Genomic DNA, 21,315 nt, shown 5'->3' on the forward strand with positions numbered 1-21,315 from the left:
GCAGGGCGTGGTGGTGCCCAGCTACTCGGGAGGCTGAGGCAGGAGAATTGCTTGAACCCAGGAGGCGGAGGCTGCAGTGAGCTGAAATCATGTCACCGCACTCCAGCCTAGTAGACAGAGTGGGAATCCTGTCTCAAAAAAAAAAAGGAAAAAAGGACAGGCATAATGAATTCAGAGTTAGATTAGCCCAGATGTGAATCCCTAGAATTATTATTAGATGGAGGCTGGAGTCAAATGATCTGAGTCAGATCACCACCATTGACTTTTGCATGTCAAGGATGTCATGCATGTAAAATGGTGACACTAATAGTATTAGCCTTCCAGTGTTGTGAGGATTAAATGGGAAGATGGATGTAAAATTTTTAGCACAATGCTTGGTATGTAGTTCCCATGTTTAATTTCTATTATTAATATGCCTTAGTTTCCTTAACTTTAACATGCAAAACTCTAAGAGAGCTGTCATGAAGAATAAGTGAGATCTTAGTAAAGCATGTGAAACAATGCTTTAATGGAAGCCGATTATAACAACAAAAATAAGACAAGCAGACCAGATAATCTATCTTTTCCAGAACTAATATGCTTTAGTTGTATTATTTTTCTTACATTGTTTCCTTCATTTTTTATCATATTGATTTTTAGCAAACTAACAATCACACTAAAAATTTACTAGGTTGGGACAAAATTATATTAAAAAAGATATTTCACAAAAGTACATTTAGAAAGTATAACAGTATTGTCATTATACTTTTAAATACTTGAATTCCAAGTCAAAAGAAAAGTTAGTATATTTTAGCAGGAGAAATTATATTAGAACTTAGAAGTTTTGTTGGGAGTGTTCTTTTAGTTCACAGTTTTGTAAAGAAAAGAGGAAGAAAAACAACGGGTTACACCCTACTGCTTCAGTATTGCCTTTCCTCTCCAGCTCTCTATCTCTAAAAACAATGGAATCACTCAAACGGTCAGTGACAATTTTTAAAAATCAAGTTACTAGTTGTTACCACCTACTTTCTATTGGGTATCAAAAATTTAAAAATATTCTCTTATCTTCTTATGTGAGGCATAGGGGTGGGTGTGTGTGTTTAATCCCTTACTTCCTCCCAGGAGTCCCATACTAAATACCACGGCTTTGACAAAGTATTCCTCATATAAAAAAAACTCCTTATTTAGGTCTTCTTGATGAGCACAGATATAGGTGGAGTGGCCATTATTACACTACAATTCACTGGTCTAGATAATTCCTATAACATCAGTTCCAGTAACCTGGAATTTACTGGATATATATTTGTGTGACTGACAGAGTGCTTCTGAGAGTCTTTGAGCCAGAGCTAATCCAAGGATGTTCTATTCTAGACTCCACAGGAAAATGTTCTTTGTACTAAATTGTATTCACACAGCACTAGGGTAAAAAGTGTTAACCACTCTGAGCCATGGGTAGAGTGGGAAACCATTTTCCCATAAATTTATCTCACAGAATTAGGCAAGTTATTGATTATAACACTGAGGCTAAGAGGTAGCCAACTAACTAGAAGAATGTCTTCCTCAATAGGTGGTCCTCACGAGGATTTAAACAGGTAATATGTACAAGCAACTCAGGGCACTGCCTAGAAAGTCTAAGAGTTTTCAGCTCTGAAAAGCAATAAGTCACTTCCCTCAGATACTTATTTATATACTAAGCATATTAGGGTATAAGAAAAGACCAGAGCTCCCCCCACCAAAAAGAAAAAAAAAGAAAGAAGAAGAAGAAGAAGAAAATAAAACAACTTAAAAAATGCTGGCATTGGAAGTAAAATGAGGCTCATTACAGTAAAACCAGCCCCAAGGCTAGTCACTGGCTCTGCAATTGTACACTATTTTAAAACCATATCAAACAACAAAATAAAATTGACTCAGTAAGATAAATGTCAGCACTCACTTTTTGATTTCTCGGAGCAGCATTCGGATAAGGATGGCCTGAAGTGGTTCAACCATCAATTTCCTCCACATATCCAATGCTAGCTGCCGGGAAAAACGAAAATCATCAGGGCTGAATTACTTAGTATATGTTTAACATTTCCTCAAGGTTTTTTTTAACTAAAAATACTCATCAAAAGAAGTATTTATACTAATACTTCAAAATTCAAATAAAACCTGAACAAAAATTTAAAAACTCAAAGAAAACAAATTTCTAATTTGAAATATCAGTGACCACTCTACTAGCCTTATCAACATTAAGGTTTTATTATTAGTTGAAAATCTTAAGAAATAATTGATTATTATAAAACCTTAATTTAGGCCAGGTACAGTGGGTAACGTCTGTAATCCCAGCACTTTGGGAGGCCAAGGTGGGCACATCACGAGGTCAGGAGATCAAGACCATCCTGGCTAACATGGCAAAACCCTGTCTCTACTAAAAATACAAAAATGAGCCTGGTGTGGTGGCATGCGCCTGTAATCCCAGCTACTCGGGAGGCTGAGGCAGGAGAATTGCTTGAACCTGGGAGGTGGAGGTTGCAGTGAGCCCAGATCGTGCCACTGCACTCCAGCCTGGTGACAACAGTGCGAGACTCCGTCTCAAAAAAAAAAAAAAAACTTAATTTTTTGATTGTTAAAATGCTCAACACTATAAATGGGCTATAGATACCTAGACCGTAACAGAAACAAAGGATTTATGTTAAATGAAATAATGTGATTTGGCTGTAGACTGATTTTTTTAATTATGAAAAATTTTATACCAACATAAAAAGAGCAAGTCGGTTAAAAGAGTAATAAAACATTCCTGTATTCACTACCCAGTTTAAGAAATACAACTTCATCATTACCATTGTCCCAGATATCCTCCTCCTTTCCCCTCAGGTTATTACAATCCACAATTTTGTGAAACCCATCCAGTGGAAACATACAGCCATAGCTCAATCATTGGCACTGCTATACAGCATCCTGTTGCATAAATATGCCATGATTTATTTTTCCACTCTACTGCTGATGACTGCTGATGTGTCTGTGATTCCTATTTTCTGCTACTGGAAACAATGCTGTGATTCCTGTATGCATCATTTGGCCCACATAAGCAACAGATTCTCTGATATACATCTACAAGTTGAGATCCTGTACTGAACAATCAAGTGCTCATGCAGCTTTACTAAATCAAGCCAAATGATTTTCCAATTTATACTTGCATAGCAAAGCACAAGATTTCCCATTAGTCCCCATCCTTGACAACAAGTGGTACTGCCAGGCTTTAGTCAAATTTTGCCAGTCTGCTGGACATAAAATAGTGTCTCCTTGGCCAGGCACAGTGGCTCACGCCTGTAATCCCAGCACTTTGGGAGGCTGAGACGGGCGGATCACGAGGTCAGGAGATTGAAACCATCCTGGCTAACAGGGTGAAACCCCATCTCTACTAAAAATACAAAAAATTAGCGGGGCGTGGTGGCGGGTGCCTATAGTCCCAGCTATGCGGGAGGCTGAGGCAGGAGAACGGTGTGAACCCGGGAGGCGGAGCTTGCAGTGAGCCGAGATCGCGCCACTGCACTCCCGCCCAGGTGACAGAGCGAGACTCCGTCTCAAAAAAGAAAAAAAACCGGCCAGGCGCGGTGGCTCACGCCTGTAATCCCAGCACTTTGGGAGGCCGAGGCGGGCGGATCACAAGGTCAGGAGATGGAGACCATCCTGGCTAACATAGTGAAATCCCGTCTCTACTAAAAATACAAAAAATTAGCCGGGCGAGGTGGCGGGCGCCTGTAGTCCCAGCTACTCGGGAGGCTGAGGCAGGAGAATGGCGTGAACCGGCCGGGCGGAGCCTGCAGTGAGCCGAGATCGTGCCACTGCACTCCAGCCTGGGCGACAGCAAGACTCCGTCTCAAAACAACAACAACAACAACAAAAAATAGTGTCTCCTTGTGGTTTTAACTCTCATTTTACTGAATGAAGCTGGGAATTCTTTAATGTTTATTGTCCATTTTGGGTTCTTCCCTGTGAAACGCCCATTCCTAATTTTGCCCGTTAGTCTGTTAAAGTTTGTCTTGTTCTTAATAAAAGCTAGAGTTTTTTATATATTGTGGAAATTAATCCCTTGAAAGTTTCACAGTCTGTCCCAGTAAATCAACTGCTCGGTTTCTTTATTGTGTTTTGGTAAAAATATATTAAAGTTTAATATACTCAAATTTACCAATCTTCTTTATCATGGGTATTTTTTAAGAAATCCTTCTCTGCCCTAAGGTAATAGGCATATGTGTGGTCCTACTCTGCCTTCCAAGTTTTCAAGCTTTGCCTTTCACATTTAGGCCTTTAAACTTCAAATATATTTTCCCCACATAGAGTATAAATTATTCCAGTACTGAAAACCAATTTTTTGTTTGTTTGACTCTTCTCTTTTTCCACCCTAACTACATCCAGATAGGCTGTTGCTAGCCTCCCTATTGTTTCCCTAGGGTAATTTTATTCTGATCCATTGGTAATTAAGCATCTGTCTTCCCACAAGGAACACTGTTCAAGTTTTGCCTTTCTTTCTTAATAGCATGAATGGGGGTTGGGGAGGCAATACATGAAAAACTGGTATTTTACACATGTGGTGGAAGGGCAAACTGGTAAAGGCCCTTCTGAAAGGCAATGGGGCAGAGCTGCGAAACTTCAGGATGTGCTTCGACAGAGGCTCCACTTCCTGACACCCAGTCTATAAAAAGTTCTGCTCATGTACCAAGAGATACACATAAATATAACTCCATGAGCATAAGATTTTTCTCTATTTTGTTCACTGTTGTATTCAACATATATAACACAGACGGGTTCAAAAATACTTAATGAATGAATAAATGAATAGTGGTGTTCACTGCAGTGTTGTTTGTAATAACAAAAAATTAAAAATTGGGGGGCGCGGTGGCTCATACCTGTAATCCCAGCACTTTGAGAAGCGGAGGCAGGCGGATCACAAGGTCAGGAGATCGAGACCATCCTGGCTAACACGGTGAAACCCCGCCTCTACTAAATATACAAAAAATTAGCCGGGTGTGGTGGCAGGCGCCTGTAGTCCCAGCTACTTGGGAGGCTGAGGCAGGAGACTAGTGTGAACCTGGGAGGCAGAGCTTGCAGTGAGCCAAGATCACACCACTGCACTCCAGCCTGGGTGACACAGCGAGACTCCGTCTCAAAAAAAAAAAAGAAAAAAAAAAATTAAAGGGATAGTTTAAAAAATTATTCTGTATCTCTACAGAATATTAAGCTTTCACAAAAAACAAACTTATGTAAAAAGACAGACAGTAACAAATAACAAAAAAAAAGGCAAGAAATATAGGCTGTAGAACTTTATGTGTGCCGTTTTATCGCAGTTTGAAAAATAAAATCAAAACTGCTGTGTGTGTGTGTGTTTATGTAAATATTTATAAATACACAGGTAAAGTTCAGAAAAGATGCGAACTAAATTGTTTACAGTGATTTTCTGGGAAGAGAAGTGTGCTTGACAGTGCTGGTGATAAGGGAATGATTTATTCACTTACAATGCTACTAACTAAAAGCAACTACTGTTAATATTTTGGTATTTCTCATTGATCTTTTTCTCTATATCATCTTTTCCCTATAATTGTATTTGTATTCAACATATACCTATAATTTTGTGTCCAAATTTTTTCATAAACAATGTCCCCTTTGTTAAAGTTTCTATGAACAATTTTCTGCTATTAATTTATCCATTTGCCTACTTTTATAACAAAATCATATCATATATAATACATTCTTCTTCCATGCTTTTTATTGCTGAATGTTGGATGCTGAAATTTTACACTGTTCAGCCATTAGGCACCCTATTAACAATGATTGCAAAGAATACTTTTAAACATTAAACTCTTTTCTAATATTTATTATTTTCCAAGTATGGATCACTAGGCTTAGGACTTGGGATTACTTGGTCAAAAGGTATTAAGTATTTTAAACTGTACTGAAAGAAAGACACTGATCAATTTCTTTCGGAAAGGATTACACTACCTTAAATGTCTCCTAATGCTGCCTCTTAGCCTGTTTATTTCCTTCATTAACATAAATCACAAGTTAACATTAATTTCCTATTTGGCATCTGCTTCCCTTACATGAACTTACAAGCTTTTGTGTGCAGGGACCTTCTGTCTGTTCACCATTGTATCCCCAATGCCTGGCTACTCAATAAAGATGTATTAAATGAATAAACAAGCTTGTACAATAATACTTCTTTCACAATCAGCATAATTTTCCATATTTTAATTTGCACTGTACCTCAAGAACTTGAATGGACCAAACTGCCCATTTAATTGTTTCACTCTGAATTTAATTACTTTTAAAGTAAAGTTACAATAAATTTGTTGTATCCATAAATTTGTGTTTCCTCTCCTCTAGCCTGTCTTTTAAGTACTTGTCCCCTGCACTTTTTAACTACAGGGCCGTCAACACTTTATAATTGTTTCTGAGTTTTTTCACAATGCAGAACCATTAACTCTATCATTCATCCATTATAAATTTAATTATCAAAAGAGTAGTTGTCACATCTTTTTCGTTCCTGAGGATTCTTAGGAAATCACTATAGCATTTTATTTAGGATCTTTTAAATCTTGACCATTTTAAGCTAGCCAAATCAGTGTCCTTAAAAAATGATGTGCAATCAAATTACCTCAGTGTATAAAAACATACTTATGTTTGCTAGTCACTTAAAGAATGTCCTACCTCTCCTATTTCCATAAGTGGTTCATTCATATCTACACCACCATAGCCATACTGAAGGTCCGCTTCTGTTAATTTATTCTTTTTAATAAACTGGGTGTTGAGATACCTGGAAAATAAATGTAATATCAATGGATATTAAGTTAAAGTCAGTAGGAAAGCAAATGACTTGCAACTTTAGAAGAATATTTTTAAGATTACATATAAGCCATGGAATAGCCTACTAACAAATCCAAAAGAAATGAATTATGTAGAGATTAGAAATATAATAAAAATTAAAATTATCAGCCCACCTTTCTCTGCAAGCCCTTACAATACCCTTCTAGCCCAACAGCTCTTATCCAAGTTTCAGAATTTCTATAATCTCGTTTGCTACTTCCCAGACTCTTCTTGGGAAAGTCAAGATAAAGTCCACTTTCCAAAAATTAAACAGAGAATGGTTAAAAGATAAAAGTCAAGTTAGCTTTCTAATTTATATTCTAATCACCAGGAAGAAATGCAATTTTTCATTTTTAAACAAAAAAGATCACAATCAGTAGGTAAGAAAATGGAACACAGTGTTACAGATAGTAAGTATGGGCAAGATTGACAGATACAAGATGACTTTGTCTACCAGAGGAAAATGAATTATACTAAAAATGTTTAATATATTTCAAGACTAATATATGTGATTAACTCAGAATAACTGAGATGAATACAGAAATCTAAAATAAAATAAAACATGGAGAAAGGACTCGTAATGTTCAACTGTGTAGTTTTTAGGATTCCAGATTTCACTATAATGCCTTTAAACAGTCACCACCTAAAACTATTCATTTGAAAGGTTCTGCTAGTGTAAATAGCTACTGACAATACAAGTATTTTAGGCAACAACCCATGAAATCTATACATGAATATATACACTTTTCAAAATTCACTACACCAAAATGAAGGGTCCACTCAGCATTTACAGACAAATTAAAAACGAAGACAACCAAAACAAGACAACAATTTTGGGAAACAATTAAACACATAATTCCTGGCCAGGCGTCGGGGCTCACGCCTGTAATCCCAGTGCTTTGGGAGGCTGAGGCGGGAGGATCACTTGAGGCCAGCAGTTTGAGAGCAGCCTGGGTAACAGCGAGACTGTCTCTTAAGGAAATAATAATAATAACTCCTAGAAAATTGACTCCAAAGTGGTATACCCACAACCATTTACACAAGCTCCATCTCCATATTCACTAGTCAAGGCTCTAGACTCCATGGCTTACAACCTTGATGTACCATTTGATATTTTAGTGTCCTCTGACCATAAGTTACAAGATCATACTCTTTTTTTTCCCCTTTAAAATGCCATTTATTCCTTCCTCTCTATCCTCACTGTAACTCTCAAAATTTCATGCTGAGTTTCCAACCATGCCTTCCAGCTAAGGAAAGAGGAATAAGATTGAGAGACAAAAGTAAAAGGTAAAGAGGGGATGGCCTCTCCACCTAAGTGCCCCATCCCAGATATTCTGAGGGTAGTCAGTCCCCTTTCATCCGAGTCTCAGCACAGACACACCTTTCAGGTGTGCCCTGAACCCCAGAGGAGTTAGCCTTCACTTCCCAGCCCTAAGCAAGTAACTATTTAACGCACAACTGTTTTACTTTCTTCACAGTAATTGCTACTATATGAAATAATCCTATGCTTTTATTGGTTTCTTTTTTTGTGCATTCATCTTCTCTCTAGAATGTACAGTATACAAAGCAAGAACCTCCTCTTGTAGACAGCATCCACAGTAGTGGCAGGCAAAAGTCAAGTCCTCAAAAAATAATTACTGAATAAATAAATGGATAACATTCCAGACAGCAAGGATAGCAAAAGCTAACAGTAGAACACAAACCTGGAAAAGCAGCCTGCAGCCAGATCATAAAAGCCATGAATACCAGGAAATAAAAGTAATCACTAACATTTATTGAGATCACCTGTCAGACACAGCCCTAAGCATTTTATGTGGCTGAATACTATAAGACAGATGTATGTGGTACTCCTATGATCATTTTATACATAAGAAAGCTGCAGCCTAGAGAGGTTAAAGAGCTTGCCAAAGGTCAATCGGCTCCTAAGTGGCAGGGCTGGCACAGAAACTCAGGAGAGGTCTTCCACTCCCATTCAACATCGGCTGAGGGTATATCGTGTGCCAGGTCAACATGAGGCACTGGAAACACAAAGATGAAAAGCAAAAATATGGTCTCTGCCCACACAGAGCTCACTCTGTGGTACAATATACAAACAAATATAAGATTTCGTCAGGAGCGGTGCTCCCTCAGTAGAGGGTACTTAATTGTCATATTACCATTTACATATGCCTTCCAATACGGAATCTGCTCCAAACCAGTTTTCTTTTCTGGTCACTGGCACCAAGACCATTCCAGTAACCTCGCCTAAAACATCAGAATCACTTATCTCATCCTTCCATTTTGCCTGCTTTAATCAGTCAGTCTTCCTGTCTTCCTAAAGTATGCATCACTTCCTCTCACTACTTCCTTTGACTTCCAATCTACTTGCTGACCCTCTGCCCCGATTATGTGGAACACTTTTATGACTGGGCTCTACTTCAGTTTCTGGCATCTTTAATTCATCTAAAAATTCTGCTGTCAGGATGTTACTTTCCTATTCAGAATTCTACAGGAGCTTCCTTTACCTACATAATAAGTGTAAACTGCCTAGCATAGAAGCAGATGCTAAATCTGCAGATCAGGCCTGCATTCACTAATCCATTCCAAAGATCTAGATGTATATTCTTGAGCCAGGTATTGATTTAGTGCAGCTTTACATGCTTTGTATCTGCAAAGACAAACCAGTATTATCTTTTCCTCACAGAATAAAATTTAAACTAACTTACATTAACTATGTCTTTCTTATTGCAGATTTTTACTCTTGGTAAATTTAAGCTTGAAATACAATGTTTTAAAATAAAGTCATGGCCAGGCACGGTGGCTCATGTCTGTAATCCTGGCACTTTGGGAGGCTGAGGCAGGCAGATCACCTGAGGTCAGGAGACCAGTCTGGCCAACATGGTGAAACCCCGTCTCTACTAAAAAAATACAAAAATTAGCCAGGCATGGTGGTGGTTGCCTGTAATCCCAGCTACTCAGGAGGCTGAGGCAGGAGAATCACTTGAACCCAGGAGGCGGAGGTTGCAGTGAGCCGAGATCGTGCCACTGCACTCCAGCCTGGGCGACGGAGCAAGACTCCGTCTGAAAAAAAAAAAAAAGAAAAAAAGAAAATAAAGTCACAATTTAAAATATAAACAGTGCCATTTTTCATTTTAATATGGACACCATTCTTATTTTATAAGTCACTGTAGTATTTTACAATCAAATTTATTAACCACATATTTGCTTCTTAATAAAGACATGGGCTGGACGCAGTGGCTCACGCCTGTAATCCCAGCACTTTGGGAGGCTGAGGCAGGTGGATCACTCGAGGTCAGGAGTTCGAGACCATCCTGGCCAACATGGTGAAACCCCATCTCTACTAAAAAAAAATACAAAAATTAGCCAGGTGTGGTGGCGCGTGCCAGTAATCCCAGCTACTCAGGAGGCTGAGGAAGGAGAATCACTTGAATCTGGGAGGCGGATGCTGCAGTGAGCCAAGATTGTGCCACTGCACTCCAGCCGGGGAAACAGCGAGACTCGGTCCCAAAAATTAGTAATAAAATTTTTAAAAAAAGAACATTTATGATTCATGGGAGAAGGTCTAAATATCATTATGAACAGGTGATTAGAAGATGCTGATTCTATAAAGGGAAATAAAATCTCAGGATTCCCAAAACTCCTATGCCAAAACAGGAATTTAACCTTGGAGGCTGAGTCATGCTAAATGGCCATCCTCTTCCTGGACGAATAACTCTTACAAGTTTGTGTCGAAACATTATATATTAGCCAGACCCCCGTGGTAAGGCAAAAAGCCTCAGCCATTTCCTGATGACTAACCCGCCTCAAAAAGTCACTCATTCGTAAATTCTTTGCTAGCCTCGAAACCATTAAAATGTAAATCCTCCCATAACACAAGGACAGGTCCATTGTAACTCCAGATCTGTAGTCTAAAGTCTAGTTCCTAAAACCTAAGGTCTGCTAGCATCCACCTGATAAGTGTCGATTCTTAGCTGATAATTCCCAGGCACAGAGCAAAGGCAAGATGAGAGTAATCATTCCTTCCCTGAGATGTCTGCACAACTGTTTTCTTCTTCTATTTCCTTTTGCTTCAAAGGTTTATCTTATATAAAATGTAGATTTACTGGGCATTAATTAGTCTCACAAGTAGGTAACCATTTGCCTCACTGCCACCACCCCTCATGTTTTAAGGAAAATGTATAAACACTAACCCTCCTAAGAACCTCTTTGGACAAAACAGCCACAGATGCATCTGTGCCTTGCGTTTTTCCTGGGAGCATCCTTAAGCTAGCTCAATAAACCTTGATTGAGACAGCTGCCTCAGTCACTCAATTCAGTTAACACTTCCAACCCTCATGGATGAGTTAGGGGGTCAAGACTTCAGGGGAGGAAGTGACTGGAGGTGTGGTGGAAACATCAAGAGAACTCAGAAGTGGATCCTGAAGATGGGACTGAATTGCTGCAATCTCATGATATAACTTGAATGGATAAGGAGTTGCTTCTTATGGATGAGAAAGTGGTTTCTTGAGACAGAATCTACTCCTAATAAGACGGTATGAACATTGTTGAAATGACAACAAAGGATTCAAATATTACATAAGCCTAGCTGATAAGGTGGTGGCAGGGTTTGAGAGGACTGACTCCAATTTCGTAAGAATTTCTACTGCAGGTAAAATGCTATCCAACAGCATTGCACCCTAGAGAGAAATCTTTTGTGAAGAAAGAGTCAACTGATGCAGCTAACTTCATTGTTGTCTTATTTTAAGACATTGCCACAGCCTCCCCAACCTTCAGCAACCACCACCATGATCAGTCAGCAGCCATCAACACCGAGGTAAGAAGACTGGCAAAAGGATTACAACTTGCTGAAGGCTCAAATGATCAACAGCATTTTTTTTAGCAATAAAGTAATTTTAAATTAAGTTGTGCACATTTTTTTAGACAATGCTACTGCACACTTAACAGACTACAGTATAGCATAAACATAACTTATATGCACTGGGAAACCAAACAACTTGTGTGACTTGTCTTACTGCAATATTCCCTTTACATGTGGTGGTCTGGAACTGAACCCACATCATCTCCAAAGTATGCCTGTACAAGAAGATTGAGAATAGAATCTACTTAAGTGAAATACCATGTTTCTGGAACAAGATTATGGTAGAATGAAGTGGTTAAATGGATGGGCTTTGGATTCAGACTGATCTGGGTTTAAATCCTGCCTTTGTGATTCATTAGCTGAGTGACCTTCAACAAAATCATGCTCTCAGCATTGCTTTCTTCCTCTGTAAAAAACAGAGATACTAACTAACTCATATCATTTTACACACACATACACAAACACATATTAAATAGGCTGCAACATTTACTAAAAGTTCACAAATAGCACCAATTTAATAGTACTAATTTAGCCAGGCACAGTGGCTCATGCCTGTAATCCCAGCACTTTGGGAGACTGAGGAGGGAGGACTGCTTAAGCTCAGGAGTTCAAGACCATCCTGGGCAACATAGTGAGACAGCATCTCTACAAAAAATGAACAACATTAGCCAGGCATGGCGGTGCACACCTGTTGTTCCAGCAACTGGGGAGAAGGGTGTTCGAGGTGGGAGGATTGCTAGGGCCCAGGAGGCTGAGGCTGCAGTGAGCTGAGATCATGCAACTACACTGCAGCCTAGGTGAGATCCTGCCTCAAAAAATAAAAAATAAAAAAAAGGACAAAATAAAAGAAAGAAAAATAGAAAAAGAAAGAGAAGCAATCCAGGCAGATGGAACAGCACCAGGAAAGGCAGGAAGATGGGAGAGACCATGGGCCATTAGGAAACTACAAGTAATTCAATATGCCTAGACCATGGGGAATGCAGAACTTCAAGGGGAAAATAACCCAGTAATTTATCTAACATCGTTTGCATCAAACATAAAATACTGAATGCTAGAGTCAAATAAGAACATATCGAGGGGACATGAGCTGAGATTTTCCCACTAAGTTTCATGCAAGTTGAATTTTCACATTGATCTCTGTTGAGATTAAACATGTGCTACAGGTTGTAAACAATCAGAAGAAACAGAGCCATGCAATCGAGTACAGTTTTACTTTTCACAGAACGTTCCACACACTCCCTGGCTCCTAAATACCCACCTTACCCTGACTATAGACCTTTCCCCACAGCAGAGAAAAGTCCATGTCAGAGAGAATGCTTTAGTTTTGCATATGTGAATGAGAAATAGGCAATAAAAAAATTATCCTGTCAACTACTGAATGCAGGCAACGCTGCTTAGCTTGTCTAGATTTTAAAGGCACACTCACCTATATAAGCAGTCCATATAGTCTGCACCCTTGCTGTATTCTTCCCAGTACCTATGATACATAACAAGTACTTGTTCTTCTGACTCCAAAACTCTCTATATAAAGAGGAAAAATATTTTTACTTGAAAAGCAATAATCATTTTCACTGTCAACAATAAAATGTATCAAAATTAATGTTCTAAAATAATTTACATAATTCTAGCTGTACAAATTACATTTACACAACACATATTAACTACACGTATTAAAAATGAAACAACTGGGAAAGATGTGAGTCTTCAAAATGAAAGTGAAGCATCCATAATAGAGAATAAACTGAGCCGAGCGCAGTGGCTCACGCCTGTAATTCCAGCACTTTGGGAGGCCAAGGCGGGTGGATCACCTGAGGTCAGGAGTTCAAGACCAGCCTGACCAACATGGTGAAACCCCGTCTCTACTAAATAAAAAAAAATTAGCCAGCCGTGGTGGCACATGCCTGTAAGTTCCAGCTACTTGGGAAGTTGAGGCAGGAGAATCACTTGAACCCGATCGCACCGAGACCCCACCACTGCACTCCAGGCTGGGTGACAGAGCAAGACTCTGTCTCCCAAAAAAAAAAAAAAAAATCACACTTATAATGTAACCTAAAATATAAAATTGCAAAAAAATTATTAATGTCTTACATAGTTATCACTTATGGTGTTAACCAAAGCTCACTAGCTTACAATAGCAGAACTTTAACATACTAAACACTTTAAGACCACTTTAACACACTTGCTATCAAAAGCACTTTTATAAGCAGATAAATGATCACATTAGAACACTAAAATGCACATGCCATATACTATCAAAAGTAGAGCATTTTCCAATATTTTCAGGGAAACAGCACACAATCAATTGTGCCTTACTTATGAGGGTTTTTTTTTTTTTTTTTTGGTACAGGTAGTGTCTCACTATATTGCCCAGGCTGCTCTTGAACTCCTGGCCTCATATGATCCTCCTGCCTCAGCCTCCCAAAGTACAGAGATTACAGGTGTAAGCCACCGCACCAGGCCAGTTCTTACCATTTAAAAAAGTATCTACTCCTGACCACGTGCAGGGTTAGACAGTTTAAATAAAACTGTGTTGTTTTATTCCCATTTTATAGATAAAGTCAAAACTCAGTCCATAAGGTAGTTGTTAAGTGAGTTGCCCGTGGTTACAACAGCTAATAAAAAGCAGAGTGAAGATTCTTACGCAGGCACTAAATTATCTCATCCAGTTCCTGATTAGATCAGTAGTCTAAATTAAGTTGGAAATGCTGTCTATAGCAAAATACTGCAAAATTCACTGTTTATACACAGATCATGTCTGTGATGCTGCCCCTCTATGTACAGCATACTAATAAAAAAACTGGTCACAGAGACAGCTTCTATCACCATTTACCATTTCTTTTTAATTTTAGATTTTGGGAAGACTTCATATAGCACATGAAAGGCAGCTAAAAAGCTGAAAATAATAAAGACAGAGATTTACCAAGAGATAGGAATAAAAAACGAGGGAAAATTTGGCTGTATAAACACTATCCAGAGGACGTAGGAGCACATTTTAAAACTCAACAAACCCTGAGCTGACCCTCTCCTTCATTTACTAATTACGAGATGCTGAGCAAGTAAACTGATTTCCCTAACACAGTGCTTGACTCAAAGATCTTAATATGTATATATTTTTAAAATGCTGATTAAGAAGCAAAAACAAGGGAGGCCAAGGCCGGAGGATCACTGGAGCCCAGGAGTTTGAGACCAGCCTAGGCAATATAGTGAGACCCCCATCTCTACCAAAAAAAAAAAAAAAAAATTGCCAGGTGTGGTGGTGTGTGTCTGTATTCCTAGCTACTCGGGAGGCTGAGGTGGGAGGATCACGTAAGCCAGGGAAGTCGGGGCTGCAGTGAGCCATGATCGCGCCACTGCACCCTAGCCTGGGCAACAGAGCAAGACCCTGTATTTAAAAAAAGCAGCAGCAGCAGCAAAACAAGCTGACCTTGATAAAAGTTCTACACTGGAAAACAGTAAACTAGTAAAGTATACAACTATCAACATATTTATATCACGTATGTATCATTGCTTACCTTATGCAAATGCCGAACATGATTTTCCAAAAAAATCTTAGTTTCTGTATAAAGTCTTTCTCCAAGGGGTTCAGGATAGGCCACACATAAAGCATAGATATCTCTAGTTAAATTATTAAGGTTTTCATATTTATTGGAGACAATTTTAAAACATAATGAGATTTACCTTGTTTGGCATTAAAAAATGAAAAAACATTTCTTTTTGTGGTTTAGCTTATAATATACATAATACTGTTGTATATATGACAAGATAGAATACATAACCATGCTTACTTTATCTAAGATTCATTCACTTATTCATTCCACAAGTATTTATTGAGAATTATTTGAAGACACTGTAAGGAAAATGGTTCTTATCAGAGAGGTTAAAATCCAGAGGGAGTTTCTGGAAAATCAAATTACCCAGAATCCTACAAAATAAGGTTTATATTAGAATGGATATTAGTATCAATAGTATCAATGATATTAGTATTCATAGTATCAATGAAGGGCTATGGAATATGACAAGAGGCAGACATGTCTAAGCAATTCTGAGAAACTAAACAAAAATTATTCATTTGACACAGCCTCCTACATCATAGCAGTCAGGATACTCTACCGTTATTCTATCAGAAGAAATATACCATGAATAGGAATATCAATTAAGTTTCTGAACATCAACTAAGTACCTTGCTAAGTCTCACCGGAGGTAGATAACAGAAGGAGTGGAAAGAAGTAAGACCTGAGACTTTACCTTTCACTAGCCAGTGATCTTAACCAAGTTTCCTAGCCTCTCTCGGGTGGCATTTCCTTTTTTTTTTTTTTTTTTAATATCCTTTGCTTTATTGGATCTTCTCAACATCTCCAATAATTAGAAACATTATAAACCAAGAAGAACAAAAGATAAGACTTAAGGCAAAGCCCATTTATAACTTTGGGGCCAGACACGGTATTAGATTATGATTCTGGGAACTAGGTGTTTCATATGCTGCCTCCAACTACTGTGACAAGGCATTTTGGAGGTAACAGCTCATTTGTCCACAGGAACAATGACACCAGAGCAACACAGAGGTCAGGACCTCCTGGTGGTTATACTCCAGACTGTTCCATGATAAAGCTATGCCATCTTATCAGTACGATGACCACCACCAAGTGTCTCCAAGGTAAAGATAATGAATCTTTCCCTGACATCTCCACAGGTCCTGTAAGACCCAAATAAATTCATATATGTTAAAGTACTTTATAAACTGTCCATCATTAACCAAATATAGAAGATAAAGGACCTATGAGCAACCTGAGACCAGCCTAACTAAAGATGCAGATACAAACTGGAAATAAGGCTGATGATTCAGGATGAAGTCAGGTATTAAAGTTTAATAGAAAGATTAGGAAATACTATGAAATAAAAATGTTAACTTAAAAATAAGGATGCAAATTCTTTCTCCTCTATGTCCCCCCGACACTTCATATACATTCTTCTACAAAATTTATTTTTATACAGTAAAATTTATTTATACTTTTCCCAACCACATTAGCCTATTCTTCATCAACTCCATACTCCCAGCTCCCAGGCATGGTTCCTAGCACTTGATGATTTATTAAATCCTGCTGAAGGAAAGGAGATGCAAAATCAATCTCACATGCTCCATTTACCTAGCATCCTTACTCCAGAAAGCGCAAGCAGCCCTCTCCACATTTATTTACTTACTTATAAATTTTTTATCAGTTCTATTTATATATTTTTAAGCTTTATTTATTTATATTTTTACTTGAAAAAATTTTTTTGTAGAAACAGGGTCTCACCATGTTGTCTAGGCTGGTCTCAAACTCTTGGGCTCAGGCAATCCTTCTGCCTCGGCCTCCCAAAGTGCTAGGATTACAGGTATGAGCCACCGCTCAATATATCCACTGCATGTAAATGTAAACAAAATCTACTGGAAGGATTTGTGCCAAATCTCCAGCTTAAGGAGAAAGGAGCTACACAAGAGAGGTGGTACAGGGAGACTCTCCCATTTCATTCCATATACAGTACTTCTGCACTGTTGGACTCCTTCAGAATATACATATTTTTTTAATGCAGTGAATCCACCTTAATAAAATTTTAAAGTTTATGTTTTAACTCACCATAGTTTTGGGTCTCAAATCACTGTATAATTTTAACCAATTAACTATGTTCTTTTTCTCTAACCTATTCAAATATCCAACCAACCAGGAAACGTTTAGCCCTTATGAAGAACACCTACGAAAATGAGATTTTCAACCTCCAACACTCAGTTATGACTTGATTATAGACAAGACACTTTAAAAGACAAAAAATGTTGGCTGGGCATGATGGCTGATGCCTGTAATCCCAGCACTTTGGGAAGCCAAGGCGGGCAGATCACCAGGTCAAGAGATCGAGGCCAGCCATGATGACTCACGCCTGTAATCCCAGCACTTTAGGAGGCCAAGGTGGGCAGATCATGAGGTCAGGAGATCGAGACCATCCTGGCTAACATGGTGAAACCCCATCTCTACTAAAACACAAAAAAATTAGCCGGCGTGGTGACAGGTGCCTGTAGTCCCAGCCACTCAAGAGGCTGAGGCAGGAGAATGGCGTGAACCCGAGAGATGGAGGTTGCAGTGAGCCAAGATCGCACCACTGCACTCCAGCCTGGGCTACAGAGCGAGACTCCATCTCAAAAATAAATAAATAAATAAAAATTTAAAAAAAGAGATTGAGACCATCCTGGCCAACATGTTGAAACCCTATCTCTACTAAAAATACAAAATTAGCCAGGTGTGGTGGCACATGCCTGTAATGCCAGCTACTCGGGAGGCTGAGGCAGGAGAATTGCTTAAACTCAGGAGGCGGAGGTTGCAGTGAGCCGAGATCACACCACTGCATTCCAGCCTGGCAACAGAGCGAGACACCATCTCAAAAAAGAAAAAAAACACAAAATAACTAGGTCAGATTTCAACTTAAACATTCTTTCACTAGACTTATCTTTTCCTAAGTCATTTTTTAGGGAGCCAGAATACAAAAACTCCTCTATTTATGAACTTTCCAGTTTAAAAATGTCTCAGTCAGAAACTAAGCTGTTCCAGAATGAAAGCTCATAGCTGCAACCAAAAGACAGTCCTAACCAGCAGCAAAGTTACTTATTTTATTTCATGTTCTCTATTAAAAGGTGTTTCCTACGCTTGGCTTAATTTTGAGTTTTAACAGTATGAACTCTATTATGCCATGGGTCAAAAACAATGAGAGTTTTGCAATGGGAATAAAAGGAAAGGTTACCTAAAAAAATGAAAATGTAAGACAACCAAAAAAGGATTTGACAATTAAAAAAAATATATAATAAAATTAACAGTAAAAAAGAATTTGCTGACTTTTTTTTTTTTTGAGACGGAGTTTCGCTCTTTTGCCCAGGCAGTGCGGTGGCGTGATCTCGGCTCACTGCAAACTTCACCCTCCGGGTTCAAGCAATTATCCTGCCTACCTCCTGAGTAGCTGGGATTACAGTTGAGCGCCACCATGCCTGGCTAATTTTTTTGTATTTTTAGTAAAGATGGGGTTTAACCATGTTGGCCAGGCTGGTCTCAAACTCCTGACCTCAGGTGATCCACCCGCCTCAACCTCCCAAGTGCTGGGATTACAGGCGTGAGCCACTGCGCCCCGCCAGATTTGCTGGCATTTCTAATGAGAAAGAATACAGATGCAGTATCTACGAAATCATGCATTAGCAAACAAGGATAAAAAATGACTAATTAAATCGAAAATTTTCAAGTGCACAGCTAGTGAATCAATGAGAACAAATATCAATTAGCCTGATATAATTTAGAATAGGGTCAGGCAGTTGCTGATGCACCAAATACACCTGACTATAGATAAAATCTTTTCCCATCTGTAAAATCTAAGAAAGAATGATGGGCTACTACACATAATCTCCATGGTTACTAAGACCTTCTTCTTCTAACACTTGTGAAAAGTGTCAAGGATACAGGTACTTGCCTCAATATTTTTCAATGACATCAAAACTGGTCTATGTTTGAAAGAGATGCCTGATAGAATATAAACTAGAAATGATAGGTGTGGTAGCGCATGCCTGTAATCCCAGATACTAGGGAGGCTGAGGCAGGAGAATTGCCTCCCGGAGGTTGGAGTGAGCCAAGATTGCACTATTGCACTCCAGCCTGGGCAACAAGAGCAAAACTCCATCTCAAAAAAAAAAAAAAAAAAAGAAATGAAGACAACAGTATGCCTGGGTTTAAATGGTGGGAGGATGAACTCATATTCCTACCTGGAAGAAATACGTTGAGGGAAGGCAATATTAAGTCTCCCCTAACAATCATTTTGGACTTACTATAACCTTTAGATGCCACTTCTCCTCCAGTAGGAAAATGTCTACATTATGCTGCTGGAGTCTGGAATGGAAATCTGTCCTAACAGCTACTAAAAGAGAGAAAACCTTGAGTAAAAGTAAACTAGAACAGGGCCAGGTACAGTCTTTCTATTTATACAAAGTCCAAAAATCAAAGAATTCACCATTGGCCGGTCACAGTGGCTCATACCTATAATCTCAGAACTTTAGGAGGCTGAGGTGGGGGGAATCACTTAAGATCAGAAGTTCAAGACTAGCCTGGCCAACATGGTGAAACCCCATCTCTACCAAAAATACAAAAATTAGCCAGGTCATGCACATGTAATCCCAGCTACACGGGAGGATGAGGCATGAGAATCACTTAAACCCAGGAGGGGGAGGCTGCAGTGAGCCAAGATCACACCACTGCACTCCAACCTGGGCAACAGAGTGAGACCCTGCCACAAAAAAAAAAAAAAATTCACCATTATTGTTTATTCTATTTATATAAAGTCCAAGAAAATTCACCATTTAAGAACCACAAAAGGGCCGGACGTGGTGGCTCATACCTGTAATCCCAGCACTTTGGGAGGCTGAGGCAGGCGGATCACGAGGTCAGGAGATCGAGACCATCCTGGTTAACACGGTGAAACCCTGTCTCTACTAAAAAAATACAAAAAAATTAGCCGGGCATTGTGGTGGGCGCCTGTAGTCCCAGCTACTCGGGAGGCTGAGGCAGGAGAATGGCATGAACCCGGGAGGCGGAGCTTGCAGTGAGCCGAGATCGAGCCACTGCACTCTAGCCTGGGCGACAGAGCGAGACTCCGTCTCAAAAAAAAAAAAAAAAACGAACCACAAAAGGCTGGGTGCAATGGCTCACACCTGTAATCTCAGCACTTCAGGAGTGCCAAGGCACATGGAACACATGAGCCCAGGGGTTCGAGACCAGCTTGGCCAACATGGCAAAACCCCATTTCTACCAAAAATACAAAAATTAGCCAGGCATGGTGGCGGGCACTTTTAATCCCAGACACTCGGGAGGCTGAGGTATGAGAATCACTTGAACCTGGGAGGTGGAGGCTGCAATGAGCTGAGATCACTGCACTATGCCTAACAAAAAAAAGAACTACAACGCACTATGTCTAATAAAAAAAAAGAACCACAAAAACAACAGGCACAAAAATCAAGATAGTAGTTAGCTCCTAGAGAAACGGGTGGGATTGTGAACTTAGAGGGTCACGTGTTTCGGGTGGGGGTTATAGTGAATGTGGACAATGTTCTATTGTTCAATGTTCTATTGATAATGTAATTGCTTGCATTATAATTATTTGTGCAAAGGTGTATTTTATGAACTTGTCCATATTTGTGTTATTCACACTCCCCATAAATGCATGCTAAAAGTTCAAATAATAACACATATTTGAAACAATGTGGAGGGACCTGTTTTTTCCTTTTCAAAGTATTTACATTGTATGGCCCTTAAAATTTCCACTTAAGATATTAAGGGTCAGAAGTGAACTTTATATTCTTGGGCAAAATAACAGGGAAAATGATGGAATTTTACCTTATAACAATTAGTAGCATAGTCTTTTATTTATTTATTTTTGAAACGGAGCCTTGCTCTTATTGCCCAGGCTGTAGTGCAATGGCCCGATCTTGGCTCACTGCAACCTCTGCCTCCCAGGGTTTAAGCAATTCTCCTGCCTCAGCCTCCCAAGTAGCTGAGATTCCAGGCACCCACAACCACGCCCAGCTAATTTTTGTATTTTTAGTAGAGACGAGGTTTCGCCATGTTGGTCAGGCTGGT

At 39.2% G+C, this 21,315-nt stretch overlaps 1 protein-coding gene across 11 annotated transcripts in view; it reads right to left on the reverse strand.

The window, feature by feature from the left end:
• The window catches only part of CUL2 (cullin 2), a 118,456-nt gene that overhangs the window by 39,220 nt on the left and 57,921 nt on the right, over positions 1 to 21,315 (reverse strand). For 9 of the 11 annotated variants that reach the window (XM_011519745.2, XM_047425852.1, XM_011519743.1 and 6 more), the window contains 4 exons: positions 15,190 to 15,292; positions 13,104 to 13,198; positions 6,664 to 6,769; positions 1,913 to 1,995 (listed from right to left, as the gene is read on the reverse strand). In XM_011519745.2, the coding sequence (XP_011518047.1) occupies positions 1,913 to 1,995; positions 6,664 to 6,769; positions 13,104 to 13,198; positions 15,190 to 15,292 (387 nt within the window). Of the gene's footprint in view, positions 1 to 1,912; positions 1,996 to 6,663; positions 6,770 to 6,953; positions 7,075 to 13,103; positions 13,199 to 15,189; positions 15,293 to 21,315 lie in introns of all 11 variants that reach the window. The other 2 variants (NM_001324376.2, NM_001324375.2) reach the window with 2 other exon arrangements.

The sequence above is a fragment of the Homo sapiens genome, chromosome 10 (genome assembly GCF_000001405.40).
Source record: "Homo sapiens chromosome 10, GRCh38.p14 Primary Assembly".
Taxonomy (NCBI): domain Eukaryota; kingdom Metazoa; phylum Chordata; class Mammalia; order Primates; family Hominidae; genus Homo; species Homo sapiens.